The sequence below is a fragment of the Homo sapiens genome, chromosome 3 (genome assembly GCF_000001405.40).
Source record: "Homo sapiens chromosome 3, GRCh38.p14 Primary Assembly".
Lineage (NCBI taxonomy): Eukaryota > Metazoa > Chordata > Mammalia > Primates > Hominidae > Homo > Homo sapiens.
In genome coordinates, this window is record NC_000003.12 from 173,920,934 (window position 1) to 173,947,128 (window position 26,195).

Sequence of the window (26,195 nt, forward strand, 5' to 3'; positions counted from 1 at the left end):
TTGAATCATAAATTCAAGGAACACAATATAAACAACGAATTGGAATTCAGCATATGTGTTTCAATTTCAAGATCTTTTGTTGACTTACTTATCCAACTTACTTTTTAAGATGCCTTTATGTTTTGGGGATTTAAATGAGTTAAACCTCAAAAATCCTCCAAAGCAATTTGGAATTTACAGGAAGTTCATAGCAATAGATTTCACTCGAATTTGGTCCTTAATATATATATGTAATATATATTACATATTATATATACAATATATATGTAGTATATATAATATATATACTATGCATGTATAATATATGGTATATATATGTAGTATATATAATATATAGCATTATTATACATTTAATATATATTATATATTTCTACTATATATTATATATAGTGGAAAATAATTCAATTGATTTTAGTAATCTATTGTTTCATTTGTAGTAATTTATTTTTTCTGTGTTCAAGTTCAGTTCATACAAGGAATGCATTTACACGTAAAAAAATGGTTTTCTTTCCTTTCTCTAAAGGCTTCATTTATACTGTTTTAATTGTGATCAAATCTCATTTATTTTACCCTAGGAAAATATTATTTCTCAGCAACTCAAATTTAATTAAATTTATTAATTTAACTTTTTATTTCAGTTAAGAGATTATCAAGATATTTTTCCAACAAGATTATTTTACCCTCATTGAAGGAAACAGTTAACATGTGTATGAGTTCTTTGACTTCTCCCAAGTCGTACAGCTAATGAGTGTTAAAACTTGAAATGAGCTGAACCCTCCTAGCAACGAGTATGTATTCTCATCAGGATGTTCCTTCTTCTACGTATAAAACCTTTGAAAATACGGTTATCAGAAATTGACATCATGAAGAATTAAGTGGTGTTGATCATTGCTAATTGTAGTAGTTGGGGCTATTTGAATCACTGGCTGACTGAAACAGACCCTTAGGGCATGCTTATTCTAACTTGCCACTCATTTTCTAAGCAGAAGGTTTTTCTTTGTGCCACTCTGAATACATTATACCAACAGCTACAGCAGAGCCCAATTCAGGGCCTTAGCAACCCAGGGTGGTGCTACATAATTCCTAAGCTTTACCTAATGTCTTTTGGTGGTGGTGGTGTTTCTTAGTTATTTGCTACTTTAATCAGTTTCTAAATAATGTTTTAAGGAAACAGCCTCATTGATCCAGGCTAATACAACTGCACATATTAACGAATAATATAGAAATCTATATTTTTTTATGACTTGGAATTTTAAAATTTGTATAAAGAACTAAATATTTATGTTTTTATGTGTTTGATCAATTTTTATTAATAAATGTTTCTTGAACTTTAAATAGAAAGAATAAGGCTAATATAAGTTATTTGCCAAGCACTGTGGAAGAAAAAGACACAAATATAGTTTAGACAGTATACCGGTAGCTGCATGTATACTACAAAAATGTGAAGAGAATTATATATAATGTTAACTTTGCTAAGAAATATAGCTCAAATTTTTAAAAAGCTGTTTCTCATCATGCATCTGAACATATTTGTTCACATTCTGTTTTTCCTAGGAAATAAAAACATTAAATATTATGTTTCATAAAACTATTATACTTTCATAAAATTATTTAAAATTTCATCCCAAATGAGTTTTGGGTACATTTTTTCAAGCTGGTTATTTATATTAATTTTACACACTTCAAGAACTGCAGATTTATCTTCTCAGAATGGAGGAGATGGAAGATTTTTGGTAAGGATTATTGATAAAAAGAAGCTTAAGCTCTTTATTAGAAACAGTTAACTACTTTGGCTTCTATTCTAATGCCATGTGTCGTCTCTGGAAAGCAATTTCCCCAACTGATAGAATAATATTTTAATGGAGTAGTGTTTGTTAGGTGAACTGACATAGCAGGTAGACTGCTTGGGGTTAAATTCCACGAGCAATTCCATTAAACTCTTTATTCTTCAGTTTCTTCACCTGAAAATGGGAAGAGAAATTGAGTCCACTTCATAAGCCTGTTCTGAGATTTGAATAAGTTAATGCATGAAAAGCTTTTGTAATAATGACTGGCACATACATACTATATAATTATTATCATCATCGTCATTATTGTAACTTCATATCACATTTCATCAACATTTTTTCAGCAATCTTACCTACAAAGCCAAAAGGTAAGATACCTAATCTAATAGTTTCGAACTTTATTTGACTATATTTCATATTTTTAAGTCTATGAGTCTTAAAAGTGAAGAGGAAATAGGAAGCTAAGAGGTGGAAAAAAGTCAGTTTACTACCATGGTTGCTAGGGTCTGTGGGAAAGGCAGCAGAGATAGGAGCCTGAGTAGAGGGTCTGTTTTGTGGTAATTGTTTTCTTCGTAAACTTCTGGAACTTCAAAAGGACTTTCCAAAAGTTTCAGAATCAGCATTTCTAAAGGAATTGAGATCTGCATCTTGAATGGTCATACATACCCCACCCTAAAATGAATTGGCCAGAATGAATTGCCTGCCACAGAGAGCTATTACACTGTATTCCTTTTCTTCTTCCCTCTTTAGAAGGGCACTTCATAAAGAATGGTGTACATCTCTCTCTTCCTATAGTTTACTGATCCTGTGATTTAAAAATTGCTGGTGTGGGTTAAACATCTTCCAAGACAAAGAAATTTTGAGAAAATATTCTTAGAGTTACCTGAATGATGTATGACATAATCTCCCTCTCACATCTCATTAAATTTTCAGTATAAATCTGATAAATAAATTGAAACAAAAAATCCTTAGATCATTAAGTAAAGAAAATATTTAAAATATTGGTGATTGTATTTAGAAAAAGAATGGCTGAGTAAAAACTCCTTTTACAAGTCAGTTAATTTTCATTTCTTTCTTTTCAACAAAATTGAAGGTGATGATAATTGAGTTGTCAGCTGAGAGATCATTAACAGTAATTTTTATCATAGATATCTACATGATTTTTGGCATATAACTTGGAAAAAGTTCAAATAATTGAATGGCATTTTTTAGAATAAAACTTCTTCCATTCTCATTTACTTTATGTGAATTTTCTCAAAACTGACATCTATAAAAATAAAACTAAGCATAAAATCTATGTTTAATATTACCTTATAGCAATACAAAAAATTCAGCCATGACTACAAAAACTGATTGGAGAAACAGAGATCATCCATCTCATTAAGGACTGAATTCCCAATACATTTAAAAACATTTGTTTAGTAATCATCAAATGTATTTATTTATTTGGATCAAGTGCATATCAATAATAATTTTACAAAAACCTGAAAGAGATATATTAACAATTTTGCCATCACAGGAATTTTTTTAAATTTAAATTTCTATTTATATACATATTTTCATTGCACAAAATTTTAAGACCTGATAAAGGTCTCTCAAACGTGAAAAATGTATTTCATTAAAATACAGTATTATGGAGAAGGTGAAATAAAAGTCCAAAGACAGAAAGAAACAATGCAAAATCTTTTAACTGTGCAGGGCTTTTTGATGCATTCTATTTTGTAATGTATGATAGTAGGTCTTAAATTGATGTGGCCTTCAGAGTCAATTAGGTATGCCTGTAGTCCAGCACTTTCAGAGGCCAAAGTATGAGAATCCCTTGAGCCCAGGATGTCAAGGCTGCAGTGAGCCATAGTCACCCCACTGCAATTCAGCCTAGGCAACAGAGTATAACCCTGTCTCAAAAAAAAAAATAAAAATAAAAATAAAAATTCAATTAGATACAAATAAAAGAGTCAAAACAATTTTTATAACATGCCAATATTTACTGTATGTTGGGAATTATATATTTTTAAATGTTAAACTTATGAGAAGCCATTTAAGTGACATAGTTCTTAAAATATTCTTTTAGAAGGTATATGGGTAAAAATATATATAAACCACTAACTTGAACCCTTTCAAAGATCATCTGGTTCTAAGATGGCATGATTATTTTGAAAATGAAATATTTACTTGGTATATTTACTAACATTTTACTTAAATTTTAATCTAGAATTCCTTAGAAATATTTACAGTATTACCTTTAAAAACCAATTTTGAGTTTTTTGGTTTTGCCTATGGATATTTTCTTTGGCATCTTGATATTCTTTCTAAAAGTTAATAAAAGAAATAATAACACAGAAACATTGAAACACAAAATGGATCAAACCTATTTTTTTCTTTTGGTGGGGGAAGAAGATGAGAAGATAAAATGCAGGAATATTAATTAAAACACCACTTAGTGTACTAGAAATTCACATTTGTAGATGTTAGTAATGTTATCCATTTTTAAGTACTTAATTAAAAAGTGACATTTTAGAAAGCTGTACCTGGATAATGAAAATAAGCCACTGAGGATCTTTTGGGGATGTTGGTATTTTGATTCAAGTTTTGGACTAATAACAGTTTGAGGAAAAAAAATAGTTCATTTAAAGAATTCAGAGAGTAGGAACCTTCTGACAAATGAGCTCAATCCATGGGAGAAATAAGAGAAGAATATACCACTGCAGCTGCTGTTTTTATTTCACCAATTCAGAATAATTAGAATGTCATCTACCTGGACCCAGTATAGAGTAGTAACAATTACTATTGCCCAGATGTTTTCTTTACCTGCCTCCCTCACAGAACCATTGTGCCACTTTCTGCTAACCTGGGAGCTGGAAGAATACAATCCAATTGCTGGGTGTGGAACCAGGACAGAAAGGAAGAGCCTGCTCCCAGAGCAAAGGCCAGGGAGCCTGTCTGCAGAGTAGGGGAAGATAAGATTGGATATCTTTTCCCAAAAAGTGGATCTGTTGACAAACATATATGTAAGTGTATTCTAAGAAGATTAATTATTTAAAAGTAGACCAGAGATAAAAATTATAAATATATATATTCATAGCTTAAAGAATAATAATGAATCAGCACCCAGATTAAGAAATAGAACATTACAGTACCTTTAAAAAGTTGATTATTTTAAAAATAAAATCTATGTCATTGTTCTGATTTCTCTCACTCCAATTAGAAAGCAAAGATTTTCAAAAAGCATACATGCCATTCAAAACTTCTTTAGCTGTCATTCATTCTTATTTTTAGTGCTGTCATTTTCATTAGAATCTTGGTATACTAAAAATTCTAAGATCTTACTATAATCTAATTCTATTTTTAAAAAAATTCAGTGACTAAAAAATGAAATACATTTAGATTTTCAGGTCTAAAGATTTTTTTTAAAATACTTTTTTATTAACTTTAAATAGTATTTTTTTTTCTGTTTTCATGTTATCTAAGGACAAAGATAACTGTATCAAAAAAGACTACCACTCTTAACAATTTAAAATAACTCTTAAGGACTATTAAAAGAACTATCTCTATTCTGGAAAAGATAATTTTACTAATTATGATTTAAGTATACTATGAAATCTCAAAAACGTCTAAGTCTCCAACTCTAGTTTCTCTAAATAATACTTTTTTATTTCATCATTTTCCCTAACCACAAAAGTCAAGTATAACTCGCAGCTTGCCATAGAGAATCAAGTTCACCTAAGTGGTTTGCTGAGTCCCATGGTCTAATCCCAATCTTACTTCCCACTAAATTCTGAGAATAATCTGCTTCCAACAAACCTACCGGTGTATACATCCATGTATTTATCATTCTCTACTATTTATTCAAATTCTCTCCACTTTACAATGTTCTTTATCTAGGCAAGAGCACAGTGAATCTCGTTTCTTTTACCTCACGAGATTTTCATTACCTGTAGCTATCTTATATCGCACCTTGTAATGTTCCATGTTTACGTGGCATCATGCTCCATGAAGGCAGGAAATGCATCCATCCAAGTTAGAAACTTTTAGAAACTCTGTTTGCGAGTGGGTGGGGAAAGTGCAGGGAAGTATTTTCAGTCCTGATGTTAACATAAACCTTAACCCACCCATTGTTAACCATACCTTTAGGCAATTCAGTACCACCTTCAAAGTTATAGGACTATTAACTGCTTTATTGCCTGTAATGATCTTGGTAGAGTGTAACTGGAAAGCCAATTGAGTCTTTCTTACCACTTTCTCTTTTATCCAGATGTGGCAAATGATTTTTTTCTCCCCATGATCAGCAAACTTCTCATTCCTTTTCTGAACACCTTCTGAGTTATGAATTGCCTTTTTTTCCTTTCTTTTTCTTTCTTTTGAAATGGAGTTTCACTCTTGTCACCCAGGCTGGAGTGCAGTGGCATGATCTCGGCTCACTGCAACCTACACCTCCCGGGTTCAAGGGATTCTCCTGCCTCAGCCTCCTGAGTAGCTGGGATTACAGGTGCATGTCTCCACGCCTGGCTAATTTTTGTATTTTTAGTAGAGATGGGGTTTCACCATGTTGGTCAGGCTGGTCTCAAACTCCTGACCTCGTGATCCATCCACCTTGGCCTCCCAAAATGCTGGATTACAGGCATGAGCCGCCATGCCCAGCCAAATTGCCTCATTTTTTAGTATTTAAAAGTGTAGAGTTTAGCCTAATATCTAAGCCAAAGTCTCTCATCTAGTGTGAATCCTCCCCTTCTAACTCAGTCATGACATAGGCTCAGAAACTTAAGGGAGGGATGGGGACACAATTAGTCTCTCCTCCTGCTCTTCCTGGCTACTATACACTTCTTCCCATTCACTGCTCAGGCTACTTCTGGCTGTTTCCAAAGTGTAAGAGGAAGATGGGGAGTAAAGTTAGAAAGACCTCCCTGGAAAGTTAGCATTTGCACATTTTTCAAGAGTGGCCTCATTTTAGGATTGGAGGAGACAAGGGGGACATTGTTCTCCCACTCTCAACTGCCGCTCCAGAAAACACACACACACACACGTACACACAGATACAGAAACACACATACATACATACATGTACATTCACAAACAGGTATGCTGGTGTGTCACAGAAACAGGCTTTCTTCCTTCTGAACCCGAGAGCAGCTGCAGAGGGCCCTGTGATCCCTGTAGCATGCTTCTTCAGTGATAGGGAGAGGGGCTCCAAGAGTCCTTACTTCTCTGAAGACCTGGTTGTGTCCGGCACAGTGCTTTTTATGTAGGAATTGTAGAACACCCCTCTGAGTAGTTGAAATTCCCTAACATTCAGGGTTGCACACACATTTTCTGAAATACAAGTGTAGCTAGATCTCCATTATTTGTTTTTATTACCATGACCAAAAAGAGTTATTGTGATTATTCTTAACAACTTTAATATTAAACTTCTGATTTTACAACCTAAGTTGTGAGTTACCTATTGTTAATCTTATAAATTGGCTAGTGTTATTTATATATGGAAACCCAGACTCGGAAAATTAATTTGTCCAGGGTCACACACTTTTAAGTGACAGAGTCTTCTGATCCTCTGTTCTTGGGGATCACCACATAGCCTCTTTGGTAACTTTCCTTTTTGCCTCGTGAGTGACAGGAGCCTCAACTGTGTGGTACATTATCTTCTGTGATCATGACAAAGCACTTGAACTTTTCGAGTCTTAAGTATCTTATCTCTTAAACAAAATAATCTTAAAAATACTTGCCTCAAAGATTTATTGGGATAACTAAGATCTGTAATACTTGGAGATAGGAACTATGTCACATAGTGCATGACACATGAAAGGCACTTAATATTCATTGAATTGAATTAAATCTCACAGATTTAAATAAAAGGCCTTTGCCTTAATGTTCAACTTTGTATTTGGTATGAGGTCTCTCTGTCTCCCTTCAATTAAATGATATTTAGAGGTATGCTCACAATAGATTAGACATAGTTAATTTTTTTTTTTTTTTTTTTGAGATAGAGTCTCTCTGTTGCCCAGGCTGGAGTACAATGGCACGATCTCGGCTCCCTGCAACCTCTGCCTCCTGGGTTCAAGAGATTCTCCTGCCTCAGCCTCCCCAGTAATGGATTACAGGCATGTGCCACCATGTCTGGCTAATTTTTTGTATTTTTAGTAGAGATGGGGTTTCACCATGTTGACTAGGCTGGTGTTGAACTGCTGACCTCAAGTGATTCACCTGCCTAGGCCTTCCAAAGTGCTGGATTACAGGCATGAGCCACCATGCCTGGCCTGACATAGTTAATTTTTGAGAGGATGAAAATTTAAAAAGGAAAGGTCGATTATTATAAATCCTATTCTTGTAGAATGCTGTATTTAAGAACCTCTAAATTTTTTAGTGAAATAGGTTCTATGTATCCAATCCAAAGGTCTTATATCAACTGGAAAAATTAGATATATTCCATTTAATATGTGTTCAATATACAAAACTTACATGAAGTTCTTACTTTTCCCTGATTTGAAAGGAGCAAAGCGCTCCTTGCCTAATTCAATTGCTCAGGATGGCTTCAGATGGAAGAAAAACTTGTAACCATTGCAGGATGATCAGCTATCTTCTTGTCATCAGGGGCTTACAATCTGAGCACGATATGGTTGGTGTCATTTATTTTGCATTCTTGCATCTTTTTTCTTTCTTGAAAATAACCAGCTAAGTTGTATGTTCACCTTAAAGAAATTCAAAGGATATTGCAGGTTGTCAGATTTGCCCACACAATATCTGAAGTCAGACCACACACAGAGAGTTTTAATTGGAGTTACCTTTTGCTGAGTGGATAGGTGTTATGTGACTTTAGATTCTGTAGTTACAATGGAATATTTTATAAATGATCACTGTCATTTCCAAAAAAAAAAAAAAAGGAGGAAAGAAACCAACTTAAAATTTCCCAAATATTTTCTGAGAGAAACAAATCTCCTTATTAAAGTGTATGTCTACCCAATAAGCTTTTTTTTTTCTTTTTTTCTTTTTTTCTTTTTTTTTTTCTTTTTGAGACAGAGTTTTGCTCTTGTTGCCCAGGCTGGAGTGCAATGGCACGATCTTGGCTCACCGCAACTTCTGCCTCTCGGGTTCAAATGATTCTTCTGCCTCAGCCTCCCGAGTAGCTGGGATTATGGGCATGTGCCACCACGCCCAGCTAATTTTGTGTTTTTAGTAGAGATAGGGTTTCTCCATGTTGGTCAGGCTGGTCTCGAACTCCCAACCTCAGGTGGATCCGCCTGCCTCAGCCTCCCAAGTTCTGGGATTATAGGCATAAGCCACCACGCCTGGCCAAGCTTCTTCAAATAAATTCCTTCCTACAACTTTTTTCTGATGACACCTGATGGCAAAAAAACAAAAACAAAACAAAAAACTAGTAGGTGCTAGTCACGGTGAGAAGAGAATATTTATCTCAGCATCTCCACTTGATGCTTTTATAAATGATGAATGTTTTAGCTTGGAAATTCCGTACCTACTGGGAGATTTATACTTTAATATCATTTATCAAAAATGTAAATCGCATATTATTCCAGGTTGGGGATGATTATTCTAATTATTGTTATTTATTATTTTTTAGCACCATCAGTGCTGCACCAGGTAACTCTGGCAAAAAATGTTCAAGTTAGAGGAGGAACTGTTATTTTCATATTTCCTAAGCAACATCAATTTGTATGGCTAACATTTTAGCAATAAAAAGCAAAATGTAAAACTGCAGCCCGCTGTGAAGGGAAGTCTACACATTGAATGAACACTGCAGGGACATACTCATAAATATTCATTAAACAGGGTTTCATTGAAAATGAAATTTAAGTACTTAAGGTAATGTAATACAAGTAGGTGAAAAGCTATTTCACCCTAGCTAAGAAACCAGGATAGACTGAGATAATCTAAGAAAGAAGGATAGAGTTTAGAGGATGTCTTTTGTACCCCAAAATACGAATTAAGAAAATGAAGTGTTAATTCAATTGTCATATTCATCCTGGTGCTTCGGAAGTCCAGTCTTCATAATAAAAGAGAACACAGTGTCTTTTAAACACCCTATAATTATGTGAATTAGGGAGGAGATTTGAAGGTCTAGAGAGTTCTCTTGGAGTAGGTAATGAAATACAGTCTCCAGGAGATAGAATTGTTCAAGAAGTCAGGGTGGCCTGTTTAAAATCTGTGTGGCCTCCAGTAAGTCACTAAGCTCTCTGATGTTGTTTCTTACCTATAAAGAGAAAATAGTACTACCTCCTCACTCACAGTCTTTTTAAGAAAAGAGAGTGTGTGTATATTTAGAAGTATTTTGTAAACTATAAAGCACCATGAAACTATCCATTATTGTAATTTGCTAGTATTCATTTCAGTACATTTATGGAGCCTAATCTCAATCTCTATGATTGCTTAGTTATATTGACATTTTTACATTCATTGCTTCTATTAGAAACTCAGTCAATAAATTTTGAATGAAAACCTATGATTTTCCAAGCATCACTCTAGGGGCTCTGGAGGAACCAATAAACAAAACAAAATGAGAGGCTCCACCTTCATGGAGCCTATGTCCTATTCAGGGGAAGTCAATAAGAAGCTAACATCATAAATATATAAAAATTAAAATGTTAGTGGGTGAGAAGTGCTTTGAAGAAAAAACAAAGCATAGAGGTGGCATAGTAGCATAAGGAACATGGAGGGTTACAGGGTGGAGGGGGCTTGGGTCCCTATTTTCAAATAGATTGGTCATGGAAGGCTTCAATGAGGAAAGATCATTTAAAGACAGGTTTTGAAGTAAGCTAGAAAGTTAAGTCTTGTGGCTATCTAGGAAAGAGCATTCCAGGCAGAAGAAATCGTAATTGCAAAGGCCCTGTGGCAGAAGTGTGTCCTGGATATTGAAGGAACAGCAATAACTGAGGGATTGAAAAGTGAATGAGAGAAAGAGTGAGTAGAAATAGAGTCAGAGAGTAGGAAGCCAAATTCTGTTAGATCATTGAAGAATTTTACCTTGCCTGGGTAGAAGGAAGGAAATCACTAGAGAGTTTTGAGAGGAAATGTGAAAAGATTTGACCTATATTTAACTGCATCATTCTGGCTTCTGTGTGGAGTTAGGTGACCAGTTAAGAGACTATTGTAATAATCCAAGTGAGAGAAAATGGTGAATTGGGAAGGGGTAGTAGCATTAAGAGTAGTAAGAAGCACTGAGAGTATAAATTATCTTGGAAGGTACAGCCAAAATAATCTTTTCACAGTTTGGATGAGAGATGCGTCAGAAAAAAGCAGAATTAAGATGACTTTAAGGTGTTTTTCTGTTTTGTTTTGTTTTAATTTTTTTTCTGTTTTGTTTTGTTTTGTTTTGTTTTGTTTTCCAGAGCAAATGGAAGGATTGGGTTTCCATTACTGAAAGATAAGAGTTATTTTATTTGTTCTGTTTTCTTCTTTCAATGCATTTGTGTCTAGGTGAGCATGTGGGTACACAGGATCAATCTTAAATGAGCTATTTGGTTATTTTTTTCAGTTATTTGTAATCAGTTGTCCTGTTTCCACTGTGATCAAGTTAAAAATGGTACTGTTTCAAATTGTCTTGTGTCATTGTGGCAATAGTTTAGTTTTCAGTTTTTTCCTTAAGTTGCTTCATAAGAAATAAATTAATCTATAACTCCTCTTTCATATCGTGTTATCACTAAGCTTGAGTTATATAGGGAAATGTTCTGATATGATTAATTCAAGGATGCTGAAGAGCAATGAGTTGTGTGTAAGCAGAAAACAAACCAGTACTTAACTAGGACATCTGTCTATGAGAGAGAAAGGAGGTGCACATTATTTAAAAAAAAAAAAAAAGTGTGGTAGGATTTGTCTGCAAATTAAATCTGGAGAATAGAAAGAAAGAAATTAGCTTTAATACTATTGCTCAGGAGAATTGTTCAGATAGTAACAGCACCTACAGTGACTGAGAAGTTAGGGTGTGTAACCAGATTCTTTGTGGAATGACTAAAATGTTCTTTCTTTGCTAATCTTGATGAGAGTGATGGTTTCATCAAATTTCTTAGAGGCTAAAGAGAATTAAAGTGTTCAGCCCTCTTGAAGGCTGTTTGGCTGGGTGACTTGCTGAGTGCCAGGGAATAGCTGATTTGCATATATGAAGAGTCAGTTAGATGTGACTCATCCCAGACACTGGCTGCCCCAGGAGGTGCTGTATTATAGCTTAGCTCATGTGTAAGTGTAAGAATATCTGCCACAGTTCTTTTGGCATAAGCCATCTGAAATTAAGAAATATTAATTTATGTATAAAGGTAATGGGGTGGTGGGTAAGGATGGGATTTATTGGAAGATACTCAAAGAATCACAAGAAGTCCTAAACAAGCAAACTCTGAGACAGGCAACAGAAAAGCTCAGAAAACCTTAAGAGAAAGTAGGAGAGGCCTCAGTGAAGTGTGAAAAATGTTATTTTGAGAGTCATTAAGTAATTGAATGGGAAAAATAGGTGTCAATATGAAAGAGATAAGAAGGCAAACAAACTATTCAGAAGGGCACCTCCGGTGAAACACTAGAAGCTCAGAGAATGGCAGGAGAGAGGAGGTAGAAAAGTAATGATTACAAAGCCTCATTGTGGAGAGAAGGGCTGATTCCCACCACTAGATCTTCAAAAGATAAATATGAGCCTCCACTAGTGGGAGACTTTACAATAAGAACCATTTCAGTCAAGGCCAGAACTTCAAAGGATCTGTGGATTAAGGGAGTTTGATGACTACAGATGGGGATTCTAGAGAGAGTGTAATAAAAGTGTAAGAAAAATGGCCAGAGGGGTATCTATCTTGGTTGACAATTAAAGATAGCAGGTATCTGAGACACAGTTTATTTAGCTTGCCGCAAATGGCAAGTTATTCAGATCCCTGGTACTTGGGAAGACCCCAAGGATTTTGAGAGGAGTCAGATTTGACATAGTTCTTCCTTCTGGTCTTTTCTATTTCCTCTTTCAGAAACATATGATGAAATGATAATGACTATCAGATAAATCAACTGAGCTTTCTTCTGATATTTTATTTACTTTCCCCTAATTTAGACACAAATCCCATTAGGCAGTGACTAGGTTATTTCTTTGTTCTGAATAACATCAAGCAAATTCTCAATGTACTTCATAAATGTTAATCTCACATGTATCTCTCAACCTCAAAGGTTCAGTTTGGTTTGGGTAATTTTTTTCTTAAGATATCTGTCAGATCACAGTCCTTTGTATTAATATATATTATAAGTGAATAAGGATGTTCTATTAAATAATAATAAAGAAATATTCCTCTCATTGAAGGAGAAATGTTTCAACACCTAAATGATACACAGTGCTATTAGTATTAGGAGAGGTGCAAAAGACACTGTATTGCTTTGCAAAACTGTATAATATCATTAGAGAAAAACCATATGTGCAATAAAATAACTACATGTAAATGAACTTTAAATAACATCTAACAATTTTCCAGAATCATTAAAAAAGTTGGGGTGTTTTGCATTCTGTGGCAGGTAAAAAAACACGAATATCTAAGTTACAATAATAATAATAATGTACTATTATAGTATATAATACTATATAGTATTAATATTAGTAGTAGTTTTAATATTATACTAATATTATTTAATAATAAACCATTATTATGTTATAATAATAAAATAATTGATATCTAACTTGTTTATTTCATTTTGTTTTATGAAGCGGTTGCAAGAAAAAGTGAATAATGACGTCAATAGTAAACATTTGCATTTGAATTATCAGCAAATATTTTTATTGACTGCATGCAAACCACAGGTTACATTAATATTAGGATAAAACTCAAATGGTGACTTTTTATATGGAGGATAAGAATTACTTTGAGTAAATATACACTTATCATTGGGCTTCTTAGCTTTCTGGCCTTTTCTCAAGACAGAGGTCACATTTCACACTTTATCTTCCCCTGATCTTTTACACCCTGAAAAACCGTATTCTGTAAATAAGAAGCAGTTTGTTATTTTCTTTTATGAGTATTCTCAAAGTATTTTCTCAGAAAACCTCTTGATGAATCCATCTTTATCACAAAATTAGCCTTTAGGTAAGAATTAAATCACAAGGCAAGTTGAGGCCATACCTTTGTCACTCACATGTCACTATTTAAATATCTGATGCAGCTGATTTAAAAACCCGATAATATCTCTTTAAAGACATAATATATTATGTATGCCTGTGGCAAATTTCTTAATAAAAGAGTCTCTATCCTAGTATTTTGTTTCAAAAATTTATTGCAACCTTGTGAGGTAGGTATTATTATTTCCATTATACAGATGAGGAAAGTAAGTCTTAATGGTTACAATGTCTGTCCCAGACCACTCCATTATTTACAAGCAAAGCTGCTTTTTCAGACCAATCATTGCTCTTAAATTCTGTGCTATGTTCCCATCTTCTGGGAGTTCTGGAATCTTTCTCTTCCTTATTATTCCCACTGCCTTAGTTCAGGCCCTCATCATTTTGCATCAAATCCAACCTGGTTTTTTAGCAAGCAAAGCCTATCACAATTTTGCCCACGTCAGTTAATTTACAGTTAAACTATCTGGGGGTTATAAAGGTTAAGGGACCTGCCTAAGGTTATACAGCTAAAAATATCAGAGATGAAGTTTAGCGGCAGCTTAGTGAATGAAAGGTACAATTCTTGGTTAAAATCTTGTAATGAGAATTAATAAAGTCTAATCTAAAACTTTCCTTTTATGTAGTCCAGCATGAAAATATGGACTTTTTTTTACTGCCCTGCATGTCAGTAGATACTGGTTTTATTGGAGCCCAGGAGAAACAAAAAATCCAGTAATGACACTCTTCCACAAAGTTAGCCAACTTCTAGAATCTTGAAGTTCAAAGTGACAGGTTCCATTTGTCATGAGAATATACAGTCTACACACACACACACACACACACACACACACTCTCTCTCTCTCTCTCTCTCTCTCTCTCTGTCTCTCTCTGCCTTACTGTTAAATTGATTCAGACCAATAAAAATCCACTAAAACCAGAAATTAGATTTTGGATAGACTAGTGTGTTTTGGTTTTATTTTGTGTGTATGTATTTTTGAATCTTTTAAACCAATTGTTAGTGAAAGAAACAATGTTTAGCAACCAAGGATTAAAAATTACTAGAATTTGTAAACTAAGAGAAAATATTGAATTATATCATGAGGGAAGTTGATAGCTAATACAGATTTTGAGACACCAAAGACCTACTGCTCCCCATGGACAGTGTGAAGCCTACAGCAAAAGCTGTTCTGAGCAAGTTAAAAGTTCTTAAGCACATTTTCAAGGATAATACCTCATGGAGAATATTGAATTAGTTCCCAAAATTTTCATAGGCATGGATTCTGTTGTGCAAAGTTGTCATTCTTTTATAAAGACCTTTGGATTTGCACATTAAGTCTTTTTTTTTTTCATAGATCTTATGTAATGGTTCTCACAAAATTGACATAAAATAAGTGGTTGGTTTCTGTATTGTGTTTATATGTTTCAAACATTTATTCTAGTTTTGTAGTTTATAAATTCAGTCTCTACATCTGCTTTCTCCTTAAGGGCACCATTTTTCATCTTAAGCATGGCCATGTAGATGCCTACCTCCTACACTTCTTCATAAGTACCATGCATTTTATGTTTATTACAGTGTGTTTAATTTGCATTATTCCAGATCCTTACACCACGGGTTTAGAAATTTCAGGTCAATAAACACTACAAGAAGTATTTCTCTCATGTATTCTAGCATTATAAGGGTAATTTACATCTAAGCAGTGTGACACCATTGTGAATTTGCTTGGATGGCTAGGATTACAATGGCAGATGGCAACCCTTGGACGTTATTACTGCAGTTTACTGCAGTATTTTCACAAGTTTTTACATTAAAATTCTCAACTGAAAGGGTGCCACAAGATTGAAGATAGGACCTTTAGAATGAACTAACTTGCATAAGCATTCATTAATTACTGTATTGATTCTATCATTTTTTAGGTCCTCAAGGTATATGTCTTATTTAGTTGTAACACACTGTTACAACATTATAGCCGGAAACGGCAGACTTCCTTGCATCAGTTTTTCACCTGAAAATTGGTGCTTTTGCTTCAGCATTCATCATTATGTGTTAGGCAGTAAGTATATTTAAAAATTAGAGAATTTTGAATTGACAGTGGTTTTATTGTATCTGTATTGGGTTAACATTTTTATTTTCACTATTTAGAAATACAAGAAAATAAAACAGGCTTCTTCCTTAACTAAAGTAGCATGTAAAAAGCATATAAAACTCATTTGAACACAGGGATATATGTATACACAGAAACACAATGAAAGTTTTCTAAATTAACTAAAATGTCAAATTATGGAACTAATAACTTTCCTTCTTCCATCCCCCTCAGCTTCCTCTGATCCCACACTATAGGTCCCAGAGCATTCAGTGAGCAACCAGACCAAAAAGATGTTTAGAAATGTGACCAAAATTAGGATTCACTGGCTCTGAGTAAGAATATGAGCTATTAATTATGCGTACATAAACTTCAGCTAATGAACTCTGTGATGATATTAGCTGCATAGGTACTTTTTTTTCTTCATTATAAACTGGATTTCAGATTACTGAGCTTATGAAATAATTCACCCATCAATGAGAGGTGTTGAGATATATACAAATAGAACAAAGATTATAGCTCAGAGAACAAATTAATATACTTTATGAACTTCACTAGTGGCTCAAATTGGGAGATTAGATTTATCATTGAGTCCAGGAAATGATGATACTTCAAAGAATAGGTGTAACTTGATCAAATCTTTATATTGCAAGTTATTTATTACTACTGAGAATTAAAAATCTGAACTTTGTGAATTTTTAAAATTAATTGCAATGGAAAACATTAGACAGGACTTGTATGCAGGAGAAAACATATAATCTGCAGCTTATCTATGCCATATCCCTTAGTAAGTGATGGTTAGAGATAAATTACTAATAGCTACTAATCACTTGACAAGTGATTTTATTTATGTCATCTGTAACATCTTTGCATTATATCTCTGCAAAATGTTGGGGTTTTGTAAAAATGTGATTAACGCAAAATAAGATAGTAGAAGCAAATGTCTTTCATCAAAAAATGCAAGGCAATTTCTCTGGTCAATTATGTATGAAGATATACATTAGTGTTTACATTTTCAAAGTTAACCCTAGATGCTCCATTAACATTTCAAAATTTAAAATGTAATATTTGTAAATGTGACCCAATAATGTAGTTGTTCTGATGTTAAAAACAATCCATCTGGGTTTATATTAAGTACATATAACACTTATAACAATAAACATAAATAGGCCATTATGTTATCAAATACTTATGGAGCACCTATTAATTGTCAAACACTGGGAATACAAAGATGATTAAAAGAGGGTCCTTTTCTTCAAGGAGCTCACTTTCTAGCATGGAAAACAGAAATTGCATCATATTTTGAGTGTGGTTGAGTAGTCACTAATGCTATTCACAAGAATTGCAGTTCTCCTCTTTTCAGGCTCGGAGTAGAATGATACTTTCCAGTGCCTCAAAGTTAGGTATGGCCATTCGAATTGTTTTAGAGGATAAAACGTGAGCAAGTGCCCCTCCATAGCAGAAAATGTAAGAGCCAGAGCATGACTCAGCATGTTTATTTTTCCCTTTACTGTTGATGCTGAGTACTGAAGCATTTATTTGCCATGGAAACATAGTCTTGGTGGCTGAGTTACTAGAATGAGCAGAGGCCTTTCAGTGATCTGCAGTGAACATGCATAATGACCAATAAATGTATATTTGTTGTATTAAACCACTGAGATTTTGGAGTTCTTTGCTACTGCAGTGTGACTTAGCCCGTGTTGACATATACTGCTATCACATACAAAATGTCAAGGAGGTGCAAAGGAAAAACTTCTAAGCATACTGCTCAAGCTTGTAATAGATAGGATCAAATGAGTAATTAATCATTAATTTGGCTTCTCTAATACTATAGCTTGACAAGAGGACTAGAACAAACACCCTCCAGATTAGAGGAGGCCCTTAGCCCCCCTCTTTTCTACTCTGCTTCTTATCTGATCAGCTCCTACAGTATGAAGTACCGAGAAAAGGCATCAACTCAGTGGCTCCCAGCATCAGTGATTTATGACAGATGTCCTTAGTGGCAAGAGCAGGATTTAGGGATGGTGATCTATAGCCCACACAACATTCTACCAGCTAACTGAGTCAGAGATATAATTTGGGGTGAAATAAGTAAATCAATGCTTTCCAAACCGAGCTTGTCAACACAATGACCAGAGGAACCTATTTTAAAAAATTGAAAAAAATATTTTAAAGTATGACTGAACACATGAGAAAAAATGCAAGCCATAGCAAAAGGTTACATGATATAAAGCACACATCTCTTTCTTTAGCTAGCCTGTAACACTTACTCCAAAAATCAATTAATGTACGTAGTTTTCGCATGCTTCCAGAAATATGTAATATGTGTGTATATATGTATAGCCCTAAAATTTCAGCTAGAAATGTTTATCTAACGGAGTTCTCCTGAGTAGAGCTCAACTGTGCTGGACTCAACCATCAACATTGATTTTCCATGTTCTTATCCCTTCAACTGAAAAGAATCAAGTTAAATCTGTAGGGAATGAAAACTAAACAGCTCTTTACATGAAGTTCCATGTCCTATTGCATTTATCTCGTGGGTTAAAATCATTCATTGATCGCTAATCACCTGTGGTTGTTTACACACAACAGGTTCCCTGGACAGCACAAAACCACAAGGAGGATTATACATACCACAGGAAACAATCAATAAAAAAGGCACATAATGATCTTCCTGAGAGGAAACTGAAAGATTTTCCCTTTGTGACAGTCTGTATATGTGTGATAGGATTGTCAAAACAGACATAAGGGTTTCCAGCTGGCAGGAAAATGTTTTTAACATTTGGTTTTCATATCCACTTTTCTTGTCTCACTATAATAATATTAAAAATGAAAAAAATCATTTCAAAATTTCTTTTAATAGAGAATTCAATGCTTGTTTTGCTTTTCTGCCCAAATAATAATGAAACAAGCCTTTTATCTCCTTTGGAATATTACTGGGTTTTGTTTTTGTTTTTGTTTTGCCTCGCTGATGCCTAAAATATCTAATCAAGAGTCCATTTTTGTTATCCAAAAGAAGTTGAATGACATTAGTTTAGGATTCTAAAAATTGATTTAATGCACTTTTAATTCAAAAATGATCACTCGGTCTTAAACAAAAATCACATTGTGTATAATCCACTAAAAATACTAAAACTTATGTTTCAGGCACTGGACTAGAAACAAACTAAAACCTTGAATGAAATTAAAACTATTCTTTTTAAATTTTACACTCAAATAGTTATAGCTTTTTTTTTTTTTTTTTTTTTTTTTGAGATGGAGTCTCGCTCTTGTTGCCGAGGCTGGAGTGCAGTGGCACGATCTCTGCTCACTGCAACCTCCGCCTCCTGGGTTCAAGCGATTCTCCTGCCTCAGCCTCCTGAATAGCTGGGATTACAGGCATGCACCACCACGCCCAGCTAATTTTTGTATTTTTAGGAGAGGCAGGGTTTCTCCATGTTGGTCAGGCTGGTCTCGAACCCCTGACCTCAGGTGATCTGCCTGCCTCGGCCTCCCAAAGCACTGGGATTACAGGCATGAGCTACCATGCCCGGCCTCAAATAGTTATATCTTGTAGGTTCCTGGTCTACAATATATACCTAGTTCTCATTTGAGGAAATAATGGAACTCTTTAACTCAATCAACACCAGTTTATCTTTCCTCATTTTCTTTCAAAGCCTTTAATATTTATATAAAACTACAGATTTGATATGTGTCATTCGGAAAAACTGTCCTGAACAAATTCAATTTAGAAATAAATCTTTCCCTCCAAGTGCCAAAACAAGAATGAAGGAGTCTGACCCATCTGAGAACATTTGCACATAGGGGGACAGAATATCAAAAATCCTTTGAGATCTTCTAATAATCCTATCCTGTTATATCCTGATTTCATAAATTTGCCTTACAATTTCTCCCCCAGTGATATTTGATAGTTTTATATTTCTCATAAGTAGTTAAAGATGACTGAATATCTACGTGCATTTGCCTATGACGTATTCTTAGAACTAGCCAACTGCTTATTGTTATAAATTTCATACTAGTAAATACTTTTACTATATTTTATAAATACTAACTGTGCATTATTTAGTGGTCACCATTTACTTTCCCCACTTCTGAAACTTCATGATTCTTACCCCATTTTCCATAATTAAAGAAAGAAAAGTTTTAAATGTTACGCTTGGTACAGTTTTATAAAGGGACTTCTGTGTAGCTTTCGTGGATTAGTTATGAAGAGAAAACAGGTGAGAGTTCTCTAATTGTGTAAATGTGTAAACTCTTTGAGAGTGAATGTCAATATCTACATGCCAGATAGTTTTGCTTGCTGCTCCAATTATCCGAAGATCATAGTACAGAATCATAATTTGCTCTTCAAACCATTCAGGCCTTCCAGAACACCACCTGAAATTAAATCTTCTGCTTGTGCATGGCTTATAAAAATTGAATGGCAGTTCATTTTCACAACACGTGACAAACACAAAGGAAATTATGAATTAATTTTAAACCTTGCTTAGCAGAGTCTTATCAAACTGATGGCACCCTTTGTCTTACTGAAGTCAGGCATCAGAGCTGATATGCTTAATTAGAATCAGGCATCACTAAATGTTTTAGAGTGACTGTTCAGATCATCCTATTGGACTCCCAGGCCTTCCAGTGGTTGGAAGCCTAAAACAAGGCAATTGACTCAAAAGGTTGACTGGATTTGACTTTCACTTCCATGCATTACCTTAACCTCATCAAAACGCATTATTATGCTGGATGTTCAAATAAACAAAAGCAAAGACTTTTGAGGGCTTTTTTAGATAGGTGGATGGAGACTGAGATAGATAGATAATAGATCAATTAAAAATATGTATATATATAGTGTGTATATATATATAAATACTATATATTTGTAGAAAAACTGTGTTATAGGAAAACAAACTGAAGTTACAACTAACTGTCCTTCTGCAATTATTCAGGAACTAACTATGCATTTGATGAATTATTTAGATTTTAGCCTTTCCCATTTTGGCCATTTCCCTATTCATCACATGCCATCATGAGCTTCTAATTAACACCAAACCATAAATACATGTCCATTATCCATCTTAAAAACATCCTGCTTATGAAGAAGTGACATCCACAGATGCTATGGGGCACTGGCTGTTTACTCCTAGTTACAATGCTGACACCGAGAGATGTCCACTATTGATGCTCCCTTCTTATTTACTGCTAAGTTCTTGTGTTTGGAATATTTTTCCAGGGAAACATCATGGTCAGGAATATTGGTGGTTGGGGGTGTGTGTGTGTGTGTGTGTGTGTGTGTGTGTATGTGTGTGTGTGTGTATGTGTATATATAATATGTGTATATATATATACACATGTGCATATATACATACATAGTGAAGCACTGCCTATATTCTGGGCATCTTATAATAATTGCTGTACTGTTTTAGAACCAAGCACTATCTATGGTAGGTCAGGTATAGGTCACATCTACTTAATTAATTTATAAAAGTAACCAGAAGAGCACCCCATTCTAATAGTGTTGGCTTGAAGCAGGATCATAAGTGTAAACTTGCAGTGTATCATTCAGTGACGACTGACCTAGTAGCCATTATAGGATGAAAACGAGGTACCTCAGCCTAGTTCAGGTCATTGTGACATGGTTCAGATTTTACCAGCATGTATCCTGAGCTCAGAATAGCGCCAAAAAGAGTTGAAAATGTGGCATCAACTTCATAGTTCAAGGTTTAGTTTCAACGTTTTCTTTTTGCTTTGGAGGAAAAAACAGTTTTTATTCCCTAAGACCAAAATGCAACCAAAAAAGAACAAAATACAGTGAAAAGGTATGTGAAACTTTCTGATGCCTATGAGAAAAGTTGTATTTGTTATCCCTTTTTTCATAGTTAATGACAGCTTCAAATATTACCTTCCATGACTGACTAAATCTTCCACTGAAATAATAATATTCATGACAACCAGGGAAGTGAAAGATACAGACCTGTATGTTAATGGTAAAACTGCATTTTCACATATTAATTTAATTAAACATACAATTTATTTACTCTTTATTCTCTTTTTGGACTGACAGTGTAACATATTGGTAGTCCTAAAAGTAATGAAGGACAGATCAGATGCAGTGGTTCACACCTGTAATCCCAGCACTTTGCGAGGCTGAGATAGGTGTATTGCTTGAGACCAGGAGTCTGAGACCCTCCTGAGAAACATGGCAAAACCCCATCTTTACAAAAAATATAAAAAATTAGTTGGGCATGGTGGCACATGCTTGTGATCCCAGCTACTCAGGAGGCTGAAGTTGGAGGGTCATCTGAGCCCTGGGAGGTAGAGGCTGTAGTGAACTGTAATGGCACCACTGCACTCCAGCCTGGGGGACAGAAGACCCTGTCTCAAAAACAAAAAAAAATAATGAAGGGTATAAAAATATATTTTTCCTTTGTGAGCACTTTAATATTAATTACTTTTTAAATAGGACCTTATATATTTCTCTAATTATTGCAACCCCAACATTGTCCTTGTGGGGGCAAGTATTCTTTCTTTGGATTTCAGAACCAAACAGCTCTTAAGGCTTCAGGGCAGCCCCTACAACTCTCACCTAGAAAACAAGTGAGTTCAGGAAAGCACCTAAGTCTATAACTCAGCTTCAATGAAAGTACATGCACAGTGAATTACCTCTGAGCTGTTTCCTCTTTGTTAGGTAATGGCGAGTCTGGTCCCCTTGAATTGGGTAACATATTGTGTCATCTACTTTGTTAGAGTGCTCTAAGACTTGATAATGAATCAATGATTGAAGCTTTTGGAGGAATTCGGCTTCTTGGTTCGTGGGAGGAGGGGTAGGTCTGTGTTTTTGTGTTTTACAGGCAAATTTTCTTCCCTGCCATTTTATTTTGCACATCTCTTAGCATTATTGCTGAAATGTGAGAACAGCATTTAGGAAGCCTAACAAAGCTTCCCAAGTGTGAAGCTGTGACATTTTGTTATTCTAGAACCACTTCAGAAAGCAACGTTGTATTTCTACTTAACATTTAATGTTTTGCAGCTGCTAAAGAATTATTTACAAAGTAGTAAAACAGAGAAAAAGCAATCATTTCCCAACATCATTAGTAACAAATATGTTTGCTTATATTTTCTAAAGAAGTGACAAGAAATGCAGATAATGAGTGACTATTTGACAGACATGTACAAATGTGCCAGCCAATATTAGACAAAGAAAAATACAAAAACAAGGAACTGAAACGTTTTATAATCTTTTTGTTATAAATGTCATTTTAAATGTCCAGTTAATATTATGGGTGTGTGTGTGTGTGTGTGTGTGTGTGTGTGTGTGTGTTTTGTCCCTATGCAAGGAGGATTAGAAAGCTTCCCGAAAGGAGGCATTGTATCACCTTCCTCATTTTATAATATAAGGTGTACTCGTATTTTAGTTTATGGTAATTCCCAATTGAGCCTATTTAAGAATGAATCACAAACATACATGTGGAGAAAAAAATGCCATATTAAAAAAGGAGAGAAATTAAATTTCTCTCTGAAGCTTTGTTTACATGGGCAACATGAAGTCAATAGAAACCATCTCTGCAGCATTTACTTGATGCTCTATGTTAGAAATAAATAGAGAAACTGGGAGGGGCAACCTTCTCTGGCCCTGGAAAAGTTGACTGGATGAAATGTTACCAGTCAGTTATCCCTCTCCTAAACCTAGGATGTTTGCCACCAAGGGTATAGTCTGACTGGCAAGGCTAAGAAGGAATGGAAATATGATTCAAGCTAGAAAAAAGGATGATTCCAATCAAGTCTCTTAATAACTTCTCCTATCATCAACTCAGGTTCAACTGGAAAGTGTGAAACTCCTCTCTAAGGCTTTTACTTTTTCCCATCATGCCTAGCTTTTTGAGTACATCTTTGCTCCTTTCTGGTCTGATAATTTAATGCTGGGTATATTAACTATGTAATTTGTAGACTGTTAGCTCCTTGAAGGAAATGGTCATGCCAAATTCACATGGGGTGTACAGAGTTGGTATTCAGTAATCATGATTTGTATAAATGGATGTGTAATAAAGAGAAGAGTTTTAACCAAAAATTGTATTTGTTCTGTCTGGCTAGGATTCTTTGGGTAACTTTATATTTGACAAACTTTGATGGTGAAGAGAAAATGAGATGGAGGTCACTTACTGAATAATTTGGACCTTTAAGCCCCCTTTACCTGGACTTAAATGGAAATTTGATTGGATTGCTTTCTTCCAATCTGGGCTTCATTTGACCTGATTTGAAAGTCAATAACATGGTTTGATAGAAGGACTTTAATCTATGCCTCATCTGCTTGATTTCAGAAGTCTTTGGAAAATCTGAAAAAGGTGGGTGTTTTCCGTCATGCCTGGTCTCCCTTTAGAGGGGGTGGTGGGAACAGGAACCAAAAACTCTGCTCTCTGGTGATGTTGGTTACATCTGTGCAGCTATCAGTGTTTCCTCCTACACCTCTATCCTAACAAATACATTTTTTGATGTGGGTGTAAACCTAATTTCCCTGTGCATAATGCTAGTGCCTCTGGAGTGTGCAGAGCTGGCTGGAATGTGCTCTAAGTGGTTTGGGAATAAAGGCTTTTCTTGTCATTATTTGCAGTCTGTAGTATTCAGCTGCCAACCCATGCCATATTATTTGTGTGATGCTTGGTGACAGTCTGTGTTGAGTTTTAGCTATGATTTTTGACATAATTTAATGAGCTGGAATGCCATTTTCCCCTGTAAGAAATATGTACATATTTTCAATGCCAGTGAAAAGTTGTTTATTTTATACATGTATTATTTTTCTGAATCCAGAATGTCTACTCTTAACAAATATTAACATTATATGTTCAGTATGTAAAATGTACTTTTTTCCCCACTCGCATTTATGAGAGGTTTAGTCTTCAGTATAATTGAAGGAAGAAAATGTACCTACCTGGTTGCACAAGGGTTTGCTTCTTTCCTACTCTTCCTAATTAGCTTTTAACAAGCTGTCAATCTTCCACTCTATATGTTGCATTTGTAAAGAAAGGACAAGGATGAGTTGCAATCTCCCTGTGAAAATAGACTGTGCTTCTTAAGGCAGGTATCTCCAGGCTGTCAGGGTAGGGCTTAGCCCTACAACTTTGAGTCAAATACAATATGATTTTTGCCTGGTGCCATAAACTGATGCTGAGCATATGTTTATGTGTCTGTGCCATCTGCCCTTTTCCTTAGAGATGTCATCAGCTTTTTCCTCACAGACTCACTTTAACACAACAGGAAAAGGCCCACCTAATACTTTTCCTTTTGTTAAATTAGAGTTTAGAAATGCAAATTATTTTTTTCTAATAAAAGAAGTAATACACGTTCAGTGTGAAGGATGTAATTCACAAAAATTTACCCAATAAACCAAAATCACTTCTTAATCAATCATGCAGAGATAACCAATTTAATATTTTAATGCATTTCTTTGGGCATTTAGATAATGATTTGTGTTTGGTTGTGTGTGTGTGTATGTGTGTGTGTACAAATATTTGTTTTCTTCATAGGAAGGTTGCATTTTACATATTATTTTTGTAGCATGTATTTTTATTTAGCAATAGTTTATGAACATTTCCTTTGTCAATAGTATTGTTTACAGCACTATTTTTAATATCACTCTAGCATGAGGCAATACAGTAATTTACTTAACCCTCTATTAATGGATGTTTAGGTTATTTTTCAGTTTTTGCTGTTCATAAATTATCTCTGTGCGGTTCACCTCATGTTTTTAGTATAGATACCTAGCCATGATATTATTGGATCAAACACTATGTACATGTTGGATCTTTTATATCGATTGCAAACTGCCCTACCGAAAGATTAACTCATCTTGTACTTCCGCTAGCAGAGAATGAAAGTCTCTTCCTATTCACTGTCCTCTACTCAGTGGGACTCTCATTATCTTTAACCATTGCCAATATGTCCATTGAAATATGGAATCTTGTTTCTTTAATTTACACTGGCGAGAATAAATGCTTGTCATATGTTTAATGGTCATTTCATTGAGACAAGAAAACGCAACTTCAGTAGCATCATAGTATCATGTTTAAGTGAGGGCTCTAGGGCATCAGAAAACCTGGTCCTCCACAATGCTTCACCCAATTCATGTGGACTGGGAATTGCCTTCACTTGTCTGTGTAATGTAGTGAGCAGTGGAAACAAAATCACAGATTGTTATGATTAACTATCTAGCAGTTGTTAGGATTTTTTTTTTTTTTTTTTTGAGACAGAGTTTCACTCTTGTTGCCCAGGCTGGGGTGCAATGGCGTGATC

At 34.7% G+C, this 26,195-nt stretch overlaps 1 protein-coding gene across 33 annotated transcripts in view; it reads left to right on the top strand.

Annotated features, from left to right (window-relative positions):
• The window catches only part of NLGN1 (neuroligin 1), an 898,421-nt gene that overhangs the window by 524,982 nt on the left and 347,244 nt on the right, over positions 1-26,195 (top strand). The gene's annotated exons all lie outside the window — the stretch shown is intronic.